The following is a 17,832-nucleotide window of genomic DNA, read 5'->3' on the forward strand; positions in this document are numbered from 1 at the left end:
ATTGGCTCATTAATATAATAGATTAATTGTTAAAAATGAATTAAGATCGAGTCAAAAAAGATAATATGAAACATGCAAATATGTTTTTCTGCTGTTAAAACCAAATGCAGCAACTTAGTTTAGCAGTTTAGCGTCATTCATGTCATAGATGTTAATTAAAATTGTGTTGGTACCTTGGATTTGATTGATAAATTTGCTTTTTGGGTTTTATAGTTATATTAGGGATCTAAACATGAAGAGTTTATATCTAATTTATGCTTGTGCATATTTAAGTGACACCTTAATAAAAAAATACTTTAAGTCAGTCCACCAGGAAGTAAAAAATTTTTTTCCTTTAAAAATTAGTATATTACTTAGTTTGACACAAACTGTTTCCAGCATCTATAGATCCTACGGTTTGCAAGCTTAAGGTTAAGGCTATATCTTCTCTCTGTTAGCACTTTTTATTTTAGTCTCAACCATGGTGTAGAATATATTCTTTCTACTGTACTCCAGCCTCGGCAACAGAGCAAGATCCGTTCTCTGAAAAAGTAAAAAAAGAATTTATTCTTTCATGTCATAAATGCATTGCATGAAGATTCAAAATTTGATGTCATTGTTATAAGAAGTACAACATTTCTGGCTATGTAGTGAACATTAAAGAATTACTAGATGAGGTGAAATCTGAAGTGCTCATTACTTGTTAGAAAGCTCTAGGAAGAAGTCAGAGAATGACTTCAAGATAATTCTTTCCACTGATAATAAAGTGAAGTGCATTATGAATGATGCTTGGGAAGTGGGTGATGATGGGTTTGAGCATATGGTTGAGGTAATAGGGAGAGCTCGTTGAAGGTCAGTGGGACCTAGAAAAGTTCATGAAAGAGTGGTGGTGAAAACAGTGTTGATGCATTAAAACAGGTAGCTGAGATTGTGGTCCTTTACATGAAAAACTAATCAGCACCTTTGCTATTTTGGAGCAGACCTTTAAGATTACCTGTATAATAAATGTGTGCAGACACCATCCAAAAAGGTGTAAAAAATTGCAAAGGAAAAATAAATACTGGCCAACACAGTGTTCTTAAAAGTACCCATGCCTAGTGAGTCCCCTCCCTTGCTGTTCTTTCACATTCTGTTCCATAGCTGTTTCTCCCACCTCTGTTACCTATTTCTTTGGCCAAGATTGATGCTAACAACCTGTCAGATGCCAGATTCTGAACTCCTGCTATTGACTCCTGCTTTCTAGACATTGTCATCATCTTCATCCATGTAGGACATGTGCTGTACAGTAGCAGTCTCCACCACTCATTGGCATATTTTCATTTTGTTTCCTGGTTCATATGACCAGAAGACTGATGTAATCTGTAGTGTTTATTTTAGTTGTAGTTTATTTGAATAATTTTACAAATAACTTTAGTTCTGTATTTACAAACGTAATAGAGATGTTTTTAAATTAGACGTTTAAATTTTAACAAGACGTTATTAAAATTTTACGGGCACTTCATTTTAGAGGGGAAAGTATATGCTGTAGTGGATTATACACTTCGGGAATTTATAAAAATCTACAGATGAATCAGTCCTTCATGAATGTCAAGGGATGTTGTTGAGTGTATTTTTGTCTACTCTTGTGGAATTCTGTAGGGTGGAATCATCTTGTACTTTTGTGGTTTAAATGTTTGGCATTCTTCAACAAAATGTACTTACAATATTTCTCTCTCTCTTATTCTACAGGTAAAAAATTTAACTGCATTTTTGGGATATGATAAAATTAAGCTACTTTGCTTATAGATAGTTTATGGATCATGTGGACAGTTAGCATATGTGGGGAAAAAGAGCATGTAGTGGAAGAACATCCCACACTACACTGGACGATCCCCATGATTCTTTGTGGCCCACACATGTGAGTGTTCCTAACAGTCAGCTGTTCTTTCTTCAGATACACTGAAGAGATGGTGCCTTGGCACCCTTGCCTGGAACTCGTTAGCAACTGCGAGCAGAAGCTTTCCAGTCACACATCAAGGCGCTTGATCACAATGGAAAAGGTGAAGAAATTTGAGGTAAATTGCTTCAGTATTTTTGGGATAAATTCTGAAAGAATCAAAAGTAGTTGTTTCTAAATAGTTTTCCTGTGATAGAGTTTGGAAATGTTATTCCTTGATATTTTAAAAATTACAGATCAATTTAGGAAGAGGCAGAAGTTGAAGAGATTTGTGGCATCCAGTTGGGATTGAAGGGTAGGAGTTGGATATAGACATAGACATTGAGTAGAGTTCAAATAGACGTTGACCCTCACTTCTCAGGCTTTATTTGATATCCTTGTTGCTAACTCAGTTATAAAACAGCATTATTAAACAACTGCTATCTAATTAGCAATGTCCTAGTTACCATTTTTCTCCAAAAGCAGAACCTACTTGATTGCAGACTGTAATGAAGAGAATATGTTGCTTTATAAATAAAGAGAGAAAGTAAATGTCCCCAGTTTGTTAGGGCCCAACACATTCTCTCTTTGTCTCTCTCTTACATACAAAATTCTTACTCTCTTACATTCATTACATTCTTATAAAATTCATACTCTCTTACATACAAAATTCATTTAAGCTTAAGAAAGAATGAAACGTTTGTTATTTCATGCCCAGACGAGAGTTGACATGAATAGTGCCTCATAATGGAGCTTAATTAAATCTACAAAAGCTCTTTGGGCTGTACTTCTGTCGATTGACAACCAAAGCTCTCTTAAATTCACTGGAAACTTGGATGACCCCCATTCTTGCTTTGGACCTTTAAGGTAAGCAGAAGAAAGGTGGTAGTGTCTGAAGATTTTTCCTTAGTTTTTTTTTTTTTTTTTTTTTTTTTTGAGACGGAGTTTCCCTCTTTCACCCAGGCAATCTCGGCTCACTGCAACCTCCACCTTCTGGTTTCAAGTGATTCTCCTGCCTCAGCCTCCTGAGTAGCTGGGATTACAGGTGCCTGCCACTATGCCTGGCTGATTTTTTTTTTGTATTTTTAATAGAGACGGGGTTTTACCATGTTGGCCAGGCTGGTCTTGAACTCCTGACTTCTTGATCTGCCTGTCTTGGCCTCCCAAAGTGTTGGGATTACAGGCGTGAGCCACCGTGTCCAGACTGAAGATTTTTCATACCCATCTCTAGCCTGCATTTGATTTGTTTTTATATAGTTCCCATCTTACGGATTATTTCATAGTAATGAAAACTAATATTTGTACAGTGCCTTTTGCATATATTATTTTACATCATTGTTTTCGTCCTTTTTATTTTCATTTGCTGTCTCTAATTTAGACCCTTATTACCATACACCTGGTTTATGTTCACAGTCTCCTAAATGATCTCCTTCATACCGCTAGTTTATATGTTGAATGAATCTTCCTAAAAACACTGCATTCATTATGTCACTACCTTATGCAAAATCTTTTTTTATTACTGAAAAATGTTCAGAATTTTCAGTGTGACATAAACTATCTTCTGTAATCAGGCTCCAATATCAGGGCATTTCAAAAAGCTAACCTATACATCTATATAAGTAGTTGATTGGTATCTACTATATGTATATATAGGTATACGTGTACATACATATAAACATATGGATGTATAGGTATATGTGGTGTAATTAAAATGAAAATGTATGGCAGTCATTTTTAAAACAAAAATACTAGAAGTTTATATTCAAATGACATCCTTGGAGTGGAATCTTTGTACTCATTCTATTTCTGTCATAATTTTTCAGCATGTTCTTGAAACTTTACCTTTAAGATTTGCCTTTAAAGAAGTATTCTTTTATTAATCAGTTATTTTGTTTTATAGTAACACCTTGCTTTTCTTAAAATGATTTTACTGGACTTTGCTGCTCTTATTTTATACCAGACTAATTATTTAAAGTCGTTTTTGGAAATCAAATTCTATTTCAAGGATGATGATTTGCCATTAAACCATTAAACATTAAAAACATTGCAGATTCAGAAATTCTATAGTTTCCAAATTGTTTGGCATCATTACAGCCTTCTAGAATGAAAATTTTAAATGACTAACATTTATTTGGGTGTACAGTAGAAGCCCTCTTATTTAACGTCCATTTCAAACCCCGTTGATTAACCAATACTGGCCATTCCTTCTCTAAAACACACTGCCTGGGCCAGGCGCGGTGGCTCACGCCTGTAATCCCAGCACTTTGGGAGGCCGAGGTGGGCAGATCATGAGGCCAGGAGTTCGAGACGTGCCTGGCCAATGTAGTGAAACCCCATCTCTACTAAAAATACAAAAATTACCTGGGCATGGTGGCACACACCTGTAGTCCCAGTGACTTGGGGGGCTGAGGCAGGAGAATCACTTGAACCGGGGAGGTGGAGGTTGCAGTGAGCCGAGATTGCATCACTGCACTCCAGCCTGGTGACAGAGTGAGACTCTGTCTCAAAACAAACAACAACAAAAAAAATAAAAACCACACTGCCTGATGCAATAATATGTTGTATGTTGAATACTTTCAGCTGGTGAGTCGCTTGATCTCTACTATATTTATATACAGTACTTGTGCTTCTATCAGCTGAATTATCTGTTTAACAAGAGTCTCTTGTGGTGTTCTCAGAGCTGTTTATGCCAGTTATATTTGTTACAGTAATTGTGTAATCTACTTAAATACTAGTTAGACCAGTGAAATATTTGTGTACGAATACAGTTGTAATTTCAATAAAAACTAAGTTAATGCTTTAGAAAGAACAAAGTGAGTTGCTTAAAAAAAAGACTTGAATTGGAAATGGCTTTGAAAAAAGTAATTGCAATCTAGGTTTTTGCACCCTGATTGCTTTGTAAGCTCTTGCATCATTTTATAGAAGCCAAAACTAGAATTCTTTATAGGTCTTGATTCTGTATGAATATATACAACTGAATATTGTTTTTTAAGTTAAAATAAGTTTAATATGTTTACAAAGCATTTTAATTTCTTCTTGCTTTTATTTACCTTATCCAGTTAACTAATTGTATTGGTGTGCTTGGGCTGGCATAACCAAATACCACAGACTGGGCAACTTAACAGAAATTTATTTTCTTACAGTTCTGGAGGCTGGAAATTCAAGAGTAAGGTGTCAGCAGACTTGGCTTCTTTCAGGTGTCCACTGTCTTGCTGTCTTCACAAGGCCTTTCCTTTGTGCATCTGCACTTCTGGTGTCTCTTTCTCTTCTTTTTGTTTTGGATTTAGACAGTGTCTCACTCTATCACCCAGGCTAGAATACAGTGGCACTATTACACCTCACTGTAACCTCAAACTCCTGGGCTCAAGCCATCCTCCAGCCTTACCCGACTGTCTTCCTTTTCTTAAAAGAATGACAGTCCTATTGGATTAAGGCCCTGCCTTTAAGATTTCATTTATGCATAATTACCTCCTTAAAGGCCCTGTCTTCAAATACAGTCATATTGAGGGTTAGGGCCTTAACATATGAATTTTAGGGTAGAACAGAATTCATTCCATTACACTAACCATCACCAGTGTCCATCACATTGAATAAGAGGAGTCTGTTGTACGTTAGAGGATGCTTTTTTGTCTCCTCTCCTAGTCACTTACTTCTCATGTATATGTTTGTCTTTTGGTATTTTAAAGGAAGTAAGGCATTTTGATAATTCAGATGGTAACATTACAGCTCTTAGAAATCATAGCATTTAATAGAATCATTTGAGTTAGTAATATAATAGTAACTAACATTTATGTGCCAGGCACATGAGTAATACATGTAAAAAACAAACATTACCTGTAGATTTTGCAGTTTTAAGTCGTGATATTAGAAAGTAAAGTAAATGGCATTAGCATTCTTTATTGTGTGGCCTACATAAATAGTATTCCAAAGAATTAGGAGGACAAAGCTGTGGAGACTCTTTAATAATTCATGGAGCCATATAATAAATCAGCCATTCTATTTTAATGGAAAAATTTAAAAATTAAGACCCATTGTGGACTAATTTTTATACTTGCTTTCCACTGAGTTTTATTTGTTTAAGAAAGTCTGGTATTTTTTCCCAGATTTATAATATTTCCCTAAGCAAATTTATTTGAGACTGAAGGAAAACTGGGCTTTTGAGAATTTTTGTCCTATATTAAAATGATAAATGAGGGTACTCACCTTTGGTATTTTTAAACCTGTAAAGGCAGTGCTCATTTTTGTCAGGTTTACTTTTTATCATTTTATTTTGTTCTTTTCCAATTGATTTAAAAAAACAACAACAAGGAAAAGCCTCAAGTAATTTTTTGAAATGGTCTTCCCTATATAAGATCAAATTTAACTAGTGAATTTTTACTAGTATGATGTTTACTGTAACCAAAAATACTTTGTCATGTTAAATTAATCATGTTTGGTTTTTAATTAATTACTTCATTTCTACCTTTTGTTTGTGTGGAGAGGAATGTATATAATTGCAGCAAGATCTCAATCCTTTATAATGCAAGTGGTGACATAAAATTGTCAAACAGTCCTCACACACCTCTAACAAATTATTCTTGGGCTTGTTCAGCATTGTTGATTTTGGCAATGGAAGACTGTTAGTTTTAGATTTTTACACTTTTGTATACTGTGTCTCTTCATTTTTGATTTGTCACTTGTTAGGTTTAACTTCAGTATAACTTTTGGCCCACTTGGTATGCTGTTATAAAGTATTCTCCCTATCCCTCTTTTAAAAGTGTAAATGTAAGTTACAACAAAAATTGTCTAAGCAATATTGATATTTTATAAAATGTTGAAGTTTTGGATTATTGGTCATAGTTTTCAGACTTGCTTATGGCACATATGTAGTAAAGAAGAAAATTCTTGACAACTGTATTAAAATTTTGAAATTGCCTGATAAGAAGGGCCAGGTTTTTTCATTATTCCTTGTTGATATATTCTGAAAGCCAAGTGAATGATGAGTAACACTTTTATAATGCATTATTGTTTATAAAACTTCCCTATCCATTTGACTTTATTAATTTCCCCATTTTAGAAATGAGGAAGAGTAGCCTGGGACTATCCTATTTTGCTTAAATAGTAAGTGGAAGAGTTGAGACCAAAACTCCTCTTTGTACTTGAAATTCTGTGTCGTTTTTTTCTACATCTTGCTGCCTCTCTACCGAAGCATATTTCTACCTTTAGAATGTGCCAAGATTAAAAGGTAAATATTCTTTTTATGTTTTTTTTTAATTTTTTTTTTGAGATAGAGTCTTACTCTGTTGCCAGGCTGGAGTGCAGTGGCGTGATCTTGACTCACTGCAACCTCCGCCTTCTGGGTTCAAGTGATTCTCCTTGCCTCAGCCTCCCGAGTAGCTGGGACTACAGGCGTGTGCCACCATGCCCAGCTAATTTTTGTATTTTTAGTAGAGACGGGGTTTCACCATGTTGGCCAGGATGGTCTCGATCTCCTAACCTCGTGATCCGCCCACCTCAGCCTCCCAAAGTGCTGGGATTATAGGCGCGAGCCATCGCGCCCGGCTCTAAAAGGTAAATATTCTTGAGTGACATATTACTAGTTTTTTTTAAAGATAGTCTTTCCTTGTCCTGCTGTATAGCTAGTGTTACTTTTGGGGCCATGGTAGAATGTGGTTTTTTGGGTTTTTTTTTTTTTTTTTTGAGACGGAGTCTTGCTCTGTTGCCCAGGATGGAGTGCAGTGGCGGGATCTCAGCGCACTGCAAGCTCCGCCTCCCGGGTTCACGCCATTCTCCTGCCTCAGCCTCCCAAGTAGCTGGGACTACAGGCGCCTGCCACCCCGTCCGGCTAATTTCGTTTTTGTATTTTTAGTAGAGACGGGGTTTCACCATGTTAGCCAGGATGGTCTCGATTTCCTGACCTCGTGATCCGCCAGCCTCGGCCTCCCAAAGTGCTGGGATTACAGGCATGAGCCACCGCGCCCGGCCGTTTGTTTTACTAGATCTTGCTGTCCCACTTAACACAACGTGTAGTTGATGCTGCTATATGTGGTTGTAGTCACAGTGGTTACTTCTATAAAACATTTTTCTTATATGAAATGTATAGGATAAAAGGCTGATCTCCAGAGTTGTCCACAACAGACTGAGGTATAATAGTTACGTTTTCAATGACGGTCACCTGAAGCAATTCTCTCTCAACCTTCTCCATAGAATCTACTTGAACAGATGAAAAGAGCACCCAGGGTAGCCTTTTCAAGATTTCCTTGAAATCTTTTCAAAAAATTCATGCAACTTTTATAGTCTACTCTATAATAGATACATGATTAAAAATAAAAAATTATTTTAAATTACTATTACATTAAGTGGGCCATCATGTGCCCTATTTATTTTGTGGTTTATTTACTTCACATGCTACCTTATATTCCTAGTGGTTTGAGAAGTTTTGAAGTATGGGTACGTTTAATTCAAGGTATTATATGGCTATTAATTCAGACTAAAGTTTAATGTATAAATCAGTTGTCTTTTTTTTTATAGCTACATCATATAGTTTAGATTATTTAAAAGAGGAATACTGGAAGGTCACAGTGGCAGTTGATGACAGTTTATGTAATTTTTTATTTTGGATTGAATGAAAGAGTCCAGTAACATGAAGCTGATGAATGCATTAATCATAATGGAGTGTGGCCAAAACTGAGGGTTTTAACTAAAGGACTGAAAGATTTTGAAGCTATGAAGTACAAAAGAACCATTAACTTTATAACAGTATTTTTTTAAACAAAGGAGATAATAGACACTGAGGTCACTTCAGAAAATGACTTATAGATGGCTTGAAGTGGAAGAAATTAGTCTTTATGATAGTTTACATATTAGAATGATAGTAGTGTTGCTGATCATAAACTCTGGTGTTTTGCTGGCATAATGCTGATGCCTATTTCCATTAGACATTATCCTTTCTCAGGATTAATGTTGTTAGTTGTGTTTTTCTTTCACAGCTATTTGAATTAAAGTGAGTCTCTTCTGATTGACTTTTCTTTCTGAAATATATTGTGATTTTTGCCTGTCTCTTCCCAAAACTGTGGGTTCCCTTTTGATTAGAGGTATAAAAGATTAGAGATTAGATATGAAGCATTTAAAACAAAGGGTAAGATAGATATAGGTAATAACCTCATTTATTGGTGAGAAAAACAAGGCATGGTGACACTAAAGACGTATTGGACATAAACTCATTCTAGGTCTTCATACAATCCAGTATTTATCACCATCAAAGTTCATGTGTGTATCTGAGAGAGAGAGAGTCTTTTTAAAAATTATTTTGCATAGCAAGTCAGAAACCAATTTGCATTATTTATAAATTATGACTTGACTTGAGGTACTTAAAAAAGACTCGGAGAAGCAGACAGTAGCCTGGTGATGCTGCATATCATGCTGCCTGAATTCAGTTTTCAGGTTCATTTGGTCTACTTAGTTCCAAATGAATTTTCTTTTGCTGTTTGTGGTACTTTTTCTTGAGTTTACATCGTGGAGGATCATTTTTCTTTTATACTTAGGCAAATAAAATGATTTTGTCAAACGGGATTTTTAAAGTTAATGCTATCATAATAGTTTTAAACTATTGTTTTTGATAAACCATGAAAAAGCAAAACTCTTCCCCACTAGCTCCAGGAAAGCAGGCATTTAAGATATCTGGATCCTGCATCTTATGGTTCTGTTTAGAAATAACTATTTTATTTGCAGAAATAAGCAGTTCTCTGAAGCCTGAGAGAACACATGTCTTTATGGTTCCAGCATGTTTTTAAGCTATGCCAGTAAAACAGTTTTTAAAGTACTAGTGTTATAAGAATCTTAGGCATAGGTCAGTTGAAAATATAAATATAACTCAGGGATTCCAAGGTATGAATAATTTAGAGAAATGGGAAGTTTCTATGTGGAATCAACATAATCCTTTAGAGCTTCTTTTATAATTCTTGCATGAGTGACAGATTTTCCTCATTGTATACTTTTGTATTTTTCTTATTTGTCATATGTTTATTTAACTTAGAGTTATCTTTCTGGTGTTATTCAAATTCACATGTAAACTTATGTCCTCTTTCCACTTTATGATCTTCTAAGAATCTAACTCTGAGATTTTTAATGCGTATTTTTTACATAAGACATAAATGTACACTTTAGTAATTATAAAGTGAACATCCATGTACCTGCCACCAAGGTCAAGGTTATAGAGTAATGCAGCACTCCAGAAGATCCCCCCTTTTGTGGCCATTGTTGATCATAAATACCTCCCCCTGCAATGTAACCACTATTCTGACTGTTACGGTAATCATAATCATTGTCTTGCTTTTCTTTTGTAATATTACCACTATTGAATTCATCCCTAAGCAATATAGGTTTGCCTGGTTTTGATCTTTGTATAAATGCATACTCATTTTTATTAATTATCCTTTTAATGGATTATGGAAATTTAAAAAACTCACCTAGGAGAGGAATAGTCTCTACATTAAAGTGAGAGCATATATATGTGCATGCCTGCACATGTTTTGGTCTGCTACTCATTTATTGCTACTCAAGAAGGTGTTAAACAAGATTTTTAGTTTTAATGAAATATTAGATACAGTAACTAACAAGTCATTAAATGTTTAGTGTGTTGACTTTGTATTCTTTTATCATTTAAGATAAAGTTTTGACTTTTATAAAGTACAGATTCTAGTAGATAGCATATAGAAAGTGTTAATACTTCTATGTTGTCATGATAAGGACTAATATCCCCAATGTTTTTTTTATAAGTATTAAGAAATTACATGTTGAGTGCCAGATGTCAAAGTTTAATCATTGTCACTCATTTTGAGCACTCTAGATATGAAGATTTTAATACGTATTAAAATACTTTCATAGATTTTAGGTAACTTACTATCATGTAGTGAAATTTTTAAAAAGTATAGATTATATGTAAATACCTAATTCAAGGATGAAGATTTCCAATGGTACCTTGTTCTCATTAAGAATAATGCTAGAGGTTTCTCTTAATAGTATTGGATGCCAGACTTTTGACCTGCTTGTCCTTGGTTTGGAAATGGCCTGGTGCTGTTTATAGTTGTATAACTTTAGCACAAGTGGTTTCTATAGCTACTGTCCAGTACCAGATGTAGAACAGTGGGAAGCTTTGATAAGGAGAGCAGGATTTTTAAACAAAAGCTGGACATGGGTAATTACCCTGAAGCTGAACTGAGCCCCGTTATATTCAGCACTGTCATTTACATTTCATTTCACTCTCTGCTGATTAAAAGAAAATAAACCGACCCATTGTTTTTCTCTTCCATCTCTTTGCCTTCTTCCTCACACCTTACTTAAGAATGTATATCATAGCTTTAATCGGTTCCATGAATCTAAAAAGTTTTTCCCCACAAAATTGGATGAACACTTCTAGTTTGGTGGCTTTCACTATGGTGACAGCATCACTGGTTTTCACTTATCATAGAATAAATTTCATAAGCCATTTGTATTCAAGCGTTTGCAATGAAGCTGCTGTTTTGTATAAACTACTGTCACTTTGAGACTATAAATGACTTAAGGTTAATACTAGGGAGGTAGAAGAAATCATTATATCATTATCAGGAACTGTCAGTGAGTAAAAGGACAGCTTAAACCTGACCTACAATTAAAATAGAAGCCATTTGGTTTTCTGCTGAATGACTATAGAGCTCTGCAACTTCATCCTCTAGAAAGTGGAAATATCTTATTTTTAAAGAATAGTGATTTTATAAATTGATGACCATTGTTAGATATTTTCACTGAAGTTTCAGGAATTCTATTAAATTAACTCTTGGCAATGAAGGGACACCAGGAGAGAATTTTGACTTGATCATTATATTGATAGGGAGCGGTGCAGGAGATGAGACTTTACAGTGAAGCGAGTAGGAGCCAGTTTGTAGTAGAGGATGGGCATGGTGGTTGGGGCAAGGAGGTTGAGGAAATTCATATCTGATAACTGCTGTTTGCTCTGTAAAGAAGGATGCAAGTTTTTTTGTTTTTGTTTTTGCTGAGTAAATAAGCAGATACTAAATGTAAGAATTGAGGACAGGTGAACTTTTAGAAAAGGTACTATGAGAAATAGGAAAAAAAGCCATTTGCTTAACAATTTTTACATTCATATACTTTTCCTATTTTTGTATACTTTATTTCTCTTACTTAATTACCTGTTCCTTGAGAGGAAGGCCATAGTTTTCATCACGCAACATGTGTTTATGGGACCATTCGTGTCAGGTGTTGGGGCTGAACAGACTAAGGCTTCTTATCCTTAGAAAACTTGCACATCAGGAGAAATGGCCACTCAAACCATATTCCAACATAGCATCTTGTGTTCTGTAGTGATCTGTGAGAGGTGTTGTGTGAACATAGGAAAGCACCTACCTAAGGAGATGGTGCTTGAGGCAAAAGAGATGGGGAATTTGGTTGGAAAGCCAAAAATTTAAGCAAGATACAGAAGCATGAGAGGCATTGTGGTATATGTGGGGAACCCTGGACTTCAGTGTAGCTGGAAATACTGAGCAGTGGGGGAGGATCAGCTGGAGATGACCTGGAAGACTAAAGAGAGGGAAGCCCAGTGTTGAGGGACCTTACCTACTGAACAGTTTCAAGTTTATCCTGTTGGTAAAAGGGCAAGCCCATAGGGATGTTTGGAGAGTGGCAGAAGCTCTGTGTTCTGTGAAGGTCCTCCTAGCTTCACTGTGTTAGTGAATTTGAGCTGTGGAAAGTTAGCTGTGATACTACTGAGGGGGCTCCTGGAATAGTCAGGCAAAGATGGTGAGGCTATAAACCAAGGAAGCTAGAATAGAGATTGTAGGGGACTTGTTGGAATTGAGAATTTTGCGGGGAGGTAGATATGGCAGGACTCGGTGACTAATTGGATAATTGGGGTGAGGGAGATGAGCTAAGGGTGATGTTTCAGAAATCTGGCTTGGGACAACTGAGCGGATGATTGTTTTCTTGTATATGTTTTTATTCCCCATCCCTACTCCCAGGACCATGGGGCAGTACTGCTTTCTTAGGCTGCTGTAATAATCTTCTACTGATTTCTCTGCTTCTGCAGTTTCTCCCTCCATTCCATGCCCTACATGGTGGCCAGAGTATCTTTCAGAATATAAATAGATAAGGAAACTCCTCTGCTTAAATCTCATCAATGGCTTTCTGCGGAATTTAGAATAAAATTCAGAATCCTTTACATAACCTTTATGTCAGCCTGATCTACTTCTGGCCTGTCCAGTCTCATCTTGTGCCACCTTCCCTTTTGCTTACCAGTTGTTATCCACCCTGGCCGTAGTCTTTCAGGTCCCAGAATGGATTTACCTCCTTTTAGTCTCAGAGTCTTCTCACACGCACTGTGTTTCCTCTTCCTAGAATGTTTTCTTCCCCTCTTTTCATATGAGTAAATTTAATTCATCCTTTAGGTCTCAGATAAATGTCACTTCCTGAGAGAAGCCTTTCTTGTCCTTTCCCTTCACCGCTTCTGGATAGGTGTTTCCTTCTATTCTTCCCATATTCTTTTCTTGCCAGTGTTTAATCACAGTTTGTAAGTATATGTCTGGATGTACATTGTTTAATGTCTGTCTCTCCCACCACTGTACGTACAAGCTCTGTGAATTCACGGAACTTGACTCTTTTGCTCACAATGCAATAAATATTTATGGAAAGAATACTGACTTTTAAGTGATTACTCTAGGCTGTTCTAGAATAAAAACAATCACATCAGTGGTATTTAAATCATCCATTTAAAGGAAGAGTAGGAACAGATAGTTATGGTAGCCAAAAGTTTTCTGTTTGAAAATACATTGAATTTTATCATTACCCTGATACTACTCTTCAAAAATCAGTGGGACAAAAACATTTTAATCCTATGATCCCTAGGCCTCATTTCTCATGAGAAGCAAACCAATAAAGCAGCTGAATTGACGTATTGTGGAAAATTATAACACCTTCCCTTTATTTAAGAAGGAGGTGATAAAAGAGAATAGCAAATACTGGGAGAAGGCAGTAATTAGGAGGATCGTTTTATCTAAGTGGAATTCTCAATGAAGAATCTTTCGTATGTTGGAAGTCTGAGCAGTTTATGATGGTCAGTTTGAGAAACTTTTTTTATATATGTATTCTCACAGTATAATCCAGAGGGTCATGAGTTGTGTTTAAAGCAGCAGTTTCAAATGTGACTACAGAACATACAGCTTGATTTATTTTCTTGAGAATGAATTCCCCATTAGATTAAAATTTATTATAAGTGGCTGAAATCGCTTTAGCATCTTTTTGGGTTCTTTTTAATGCTGTATTTTTGATATATAGTTGTAAACATAGATTGACTTGAATAAGGTCACGTTTATATACCTTTCTTTCTTGTTCTAGAGAGTAGTTTGGAATTTTAGGTCGGACACTGAGACAGTGTTACACGTTAGAATCGCTGAGGTGAATATGTAGTTGTCTATTTCTCCATCATTATTTAAAAATGAAATGGTGTGAATAAATGCTAACATTCCCTGAGGAAAAGGCCAGCCTGGTCATGTTGGGACTGTGGGACTCTCGATGTTTACAGCAATCCGGGACTCACAAACAGCTATCAAAACGGTGCTCCTGGCAGATGCATGGTCTGCTGTGCTGTAAGCTATTTCAGTTCACATCAGGAAGTACTCTAAAGAAGGATTGCTATGCTCCAGCCAGCAGAGGGTAGTGTACACATGAAAGTTAACTACCAATTTGTAAGCCTTCCTTTGGTTTCTTTGGCAAGTGTGTTAAAATTCCTCGAGTGGTTTATGTTTAGAATTAGCAGTACTGATAGGACAGGAAATTGGCTGGGTGGGACAGTGGTTAAAGGAGTCCTGCCTAAAACTTTAGATCTGAAATATGTGCTACCATAATGTTGCTGTTCAGTGAGGAATGTCCTCTAAATGTCAAACTCTATTTTGAATGACCCACTAATCCACCATGTGGGAAATTAACTCTTTAGCCATTGTTTTGATGTAATTTCTACTAAAAAAAAAAGAGAATCACAATGGGAAAAACATGAGTTTTGAAGTCTGATTTAGGCTACAATTCTGGCAATGCTACTTACCAGCTGTGTGATTTGTGGTAGATTATTTAAACTCTTTAGCCCCCTTGTGTCCCTATCTGTAAAATTTAGATGATACTTTTCTGCAAAAAGATACGGAAAATTAAATAATTATGTAATAACACATAGTTTGGTAGGAAATATATCTTCCTTTCTTGAATCATAACTTGTGTATTTCTTATAATGTTTACAATTGCTGATTGTCTTAAAAGGATAAATGATAGGGCTGAATGCTGTATGTCTTCCTTATGTAGCCATTTATGGCTAGCACAAATTTACCTACAGAAACTCTTCTGATTATAAAAAATGATAATAGTATAGTCAATAGTCTTAATATTTTATTCATATCGTCTTAATTACTATCAATGGTTAAGAAATTTGGAAATTGTAGTCTTTTTATCACCATAGTCTTCTCTCTTGCCATTTCCTAATTCTTGTGTGTTTTTATTTTTCCATCAAATAGGTTTTGCTTACTAAACTTTGGCAGAACTCGGGTTTTATGATACGTAGGTGATATCACAATGAATAGTGGTAGACAGATTTAGAAATGTTAGCGAAACCAAAAGTCAAACACTGGGATGAGCTTGAGTTAATGGGGAGATCAAAGATTGTGTTTGCTGAGGATACTCTTCTCCTTTTAAGTAAGCACTTTGGCCTTTGAGATACTGTGCTGAAAAAAAAACAACTTGCAGATATTCCTGGTTGAGACGCGCAGGGAATGTGAATAGAGAAGAGTCATGAAAAGGTGATGAAAAATATGTAGAGTTGAATATCATCGTCTCAGATGTAAGCCCTGGCAAACTAAACCAAAGATAGGATGAAAGAGAGGTAGAGAGAAAAGAGAAAACAAAAAATGAGTTTGCCATTTTTTTTTAGCATTAAGGTAATAAAAGTTCTGAATGCTGCATAGAGTATAGTATATTTCGTATGGTCTGGGTATATTTTAAATGTGTATTGTTCATAGATATGTGGTATTTATATGTATGATTATATGTGATATGTGTTGGACCATAGACATACTGAGTGTTTCGTGAGAAATATTTTATGAACTATGGTCTTTCCACTTAAGTGAAAATAGTAGCCAAAGTCCTTGGAATGTCTTACTCGAAGCAGGACTTGTGCTGCTAGATAATAGACTGGCGCCTGCCAGATCTCTGGCTGTGTAAGGGATTTGGAGCTTTTGGGTTTTCCAGAGTTTCTGTTATAAATGATAGATGTTGTGTTTTGCAATCAGGAGTCATTTGGTCTTCTAGAAAGGGGACATTTTAGCACAGAACCCAAACATACACTTCACACTGATTCTGCTCTACTACCTGGGAAATAAGAAAATAGCATTTTCTCCCCAGGAGTTGCATTTCTAAGGTTAATGATCTTTCCCACCTTCTCCAGTAGCATGTATGTCTTTGCCACCGTGTCCCCATAGCACTGAATAGAACACATGGTCGGTTAAGGGCTTATTTTGCCTTTATTCTGAGAGGTCTAAACTATTACAGAAAAGAATGTCTTAAGTAGTGAGTGTTTTCTCAATAATCGTTAGCATACATTTTAATCATTACTTTTGGATTTTTCAGGCTTTTGCTGTTCATTCCCAGTCTCTGACTCTAATCTTTATATTCTCTGATTTTATTACCAATAGTTGCCCTATTTCTATCCCTCTGGTCAAAGATAAACTATTTTATTAATCCCTTCCTTTGGTCCGTAGAGGAAGCCCATCTTCCATTGTGCTTTGGGCTTTGTCTTCTGCCTCCCTCTTGTGAGCTGCATAACCACAGCTTAGGTCAGCTAGGCACGCTAGTAATTGAGCCTGGGTCAGCTTGCTGGAATCACATTTCTGTCCTACCTTAGCCTCCTTACTACTGCAGTTCTAGAATATTCCATGAAGTAATCCACAGGCAGTTTGAGGGGGAGGTGATCTTGCATGGCCTAGAGGGGCCATGAGGAGAATAGTGGACATGAGGGCAGAGCTAGAATACCTGACTGCATTCTGATTCCCCTTGTACAGAGGAAAGTGAGATGTCATTCTGCAAAGTGATAGGTAATTGAATGTAAGCCCCAGATATCAAGGGAAAGCCTGAGAATTATGGACAATTTGAACTTATTTAGATTTTAGCCAAGCGGTTGGCATATTAAATTTGCATTTTAATAAATTAGGTTTGGTCTCAGTATGGAGAATACACTAGGGAAGGAAACACTGGAGGCAGGGCAGCTGGCCATTTACGGAAAAGAGGCGGGGATGAGGGAGGCCTAGATTAAATGTTGGAGTTATGAGTGGAGAGAAGTGGATTTGAGATGTTTAGGATATACGAGTTAAGATTTTAGGACTGACCAAATCTGAGAAGAGGGATTTGACGCAGGTTTCTGATTTTGATGACTGGATGGGGAACAATGCCAAGAATTGTGAGGATCAACATGGTAGCTGAAAAGATGACAGCATCTGGACATAGCTTTAAAATAAAAACCGAAGAAAAACATTCTGCCAGGATTAAGCTAACACAGCTTAGGAAGTGATCAAGTTTTCTAGTGATCTTACTGACATAAGGACAGAATTTCGAATACCTGGAGGAGTAGTTGATGGACTTCAGTCAGACTTTTGATGAAAGTTGAAGTAGTTGACGTTAAATGGTGGAACATTGTTCTGTGTTGCCGTTATCCTGGCACAGTCCTGATATGTGGACCAGACTTGAGTCTACCTGTGGAGTCATCTGTTCTTTCAGGGTTTTGTTATCCTTCAGCTTCCCTGTGGCTCTTACACCTCCTCTTGATATGAAAAGTCTGTGCCATTGAAATATATCCTTAGTTAATAGGCCTTCATTAGTAAGACCTCTCATCCAGTTCTACTTCTTTCTTGGTGGGCTCCTCAGCTGTCATGGCCTTA

At 36.3% G+C, this 17,832-nt stretch overlaps 1 protein-coding gene across 68 annotated transcripts in view; it reads left to right on the forward strand.

Moving 5' to 3' along the window:
* TRMT11 (tRNA methyltransferase 11) overlaps positions 1 to 17,832 on the forward strand; it is a 285,804-nt gene that overhangs the window by 32,708 nt on the left and 235,264 nt on the right. For all 68 annotated transcript variants that reach the window (XR_007059327.1, XR_007059304.1, XR_007059310.1 and 65 more), the window contains one exon: positions 1,913 to 2,033. Coding sequence is in view for 19 of the 68 variants with exons in the window: in NM_001350593.2 (NP_001337522.1) it covers positions 1,913 to 2,033 (121 nt within the window). In the remaining 49 variants the exon portion in view is untranslated. The remainder of the gene's footprint in view (positions 1 to 1,912; positions 2,034 to 17,832) is intronic.

Source organism: Homo sapiens, chromosome 6 (genome assembly GCF_000001405.40).
Source record: "Homo sapiens chromosome 6, GRCh38.p14 Primary Assembly".
Classification (NCBI taxonomy): domain Eukaryota; kingdom Metazoa; phylum Chordata; class Mammalia; order Primates; family Hominidae; genus Homo; species Homo sapiens.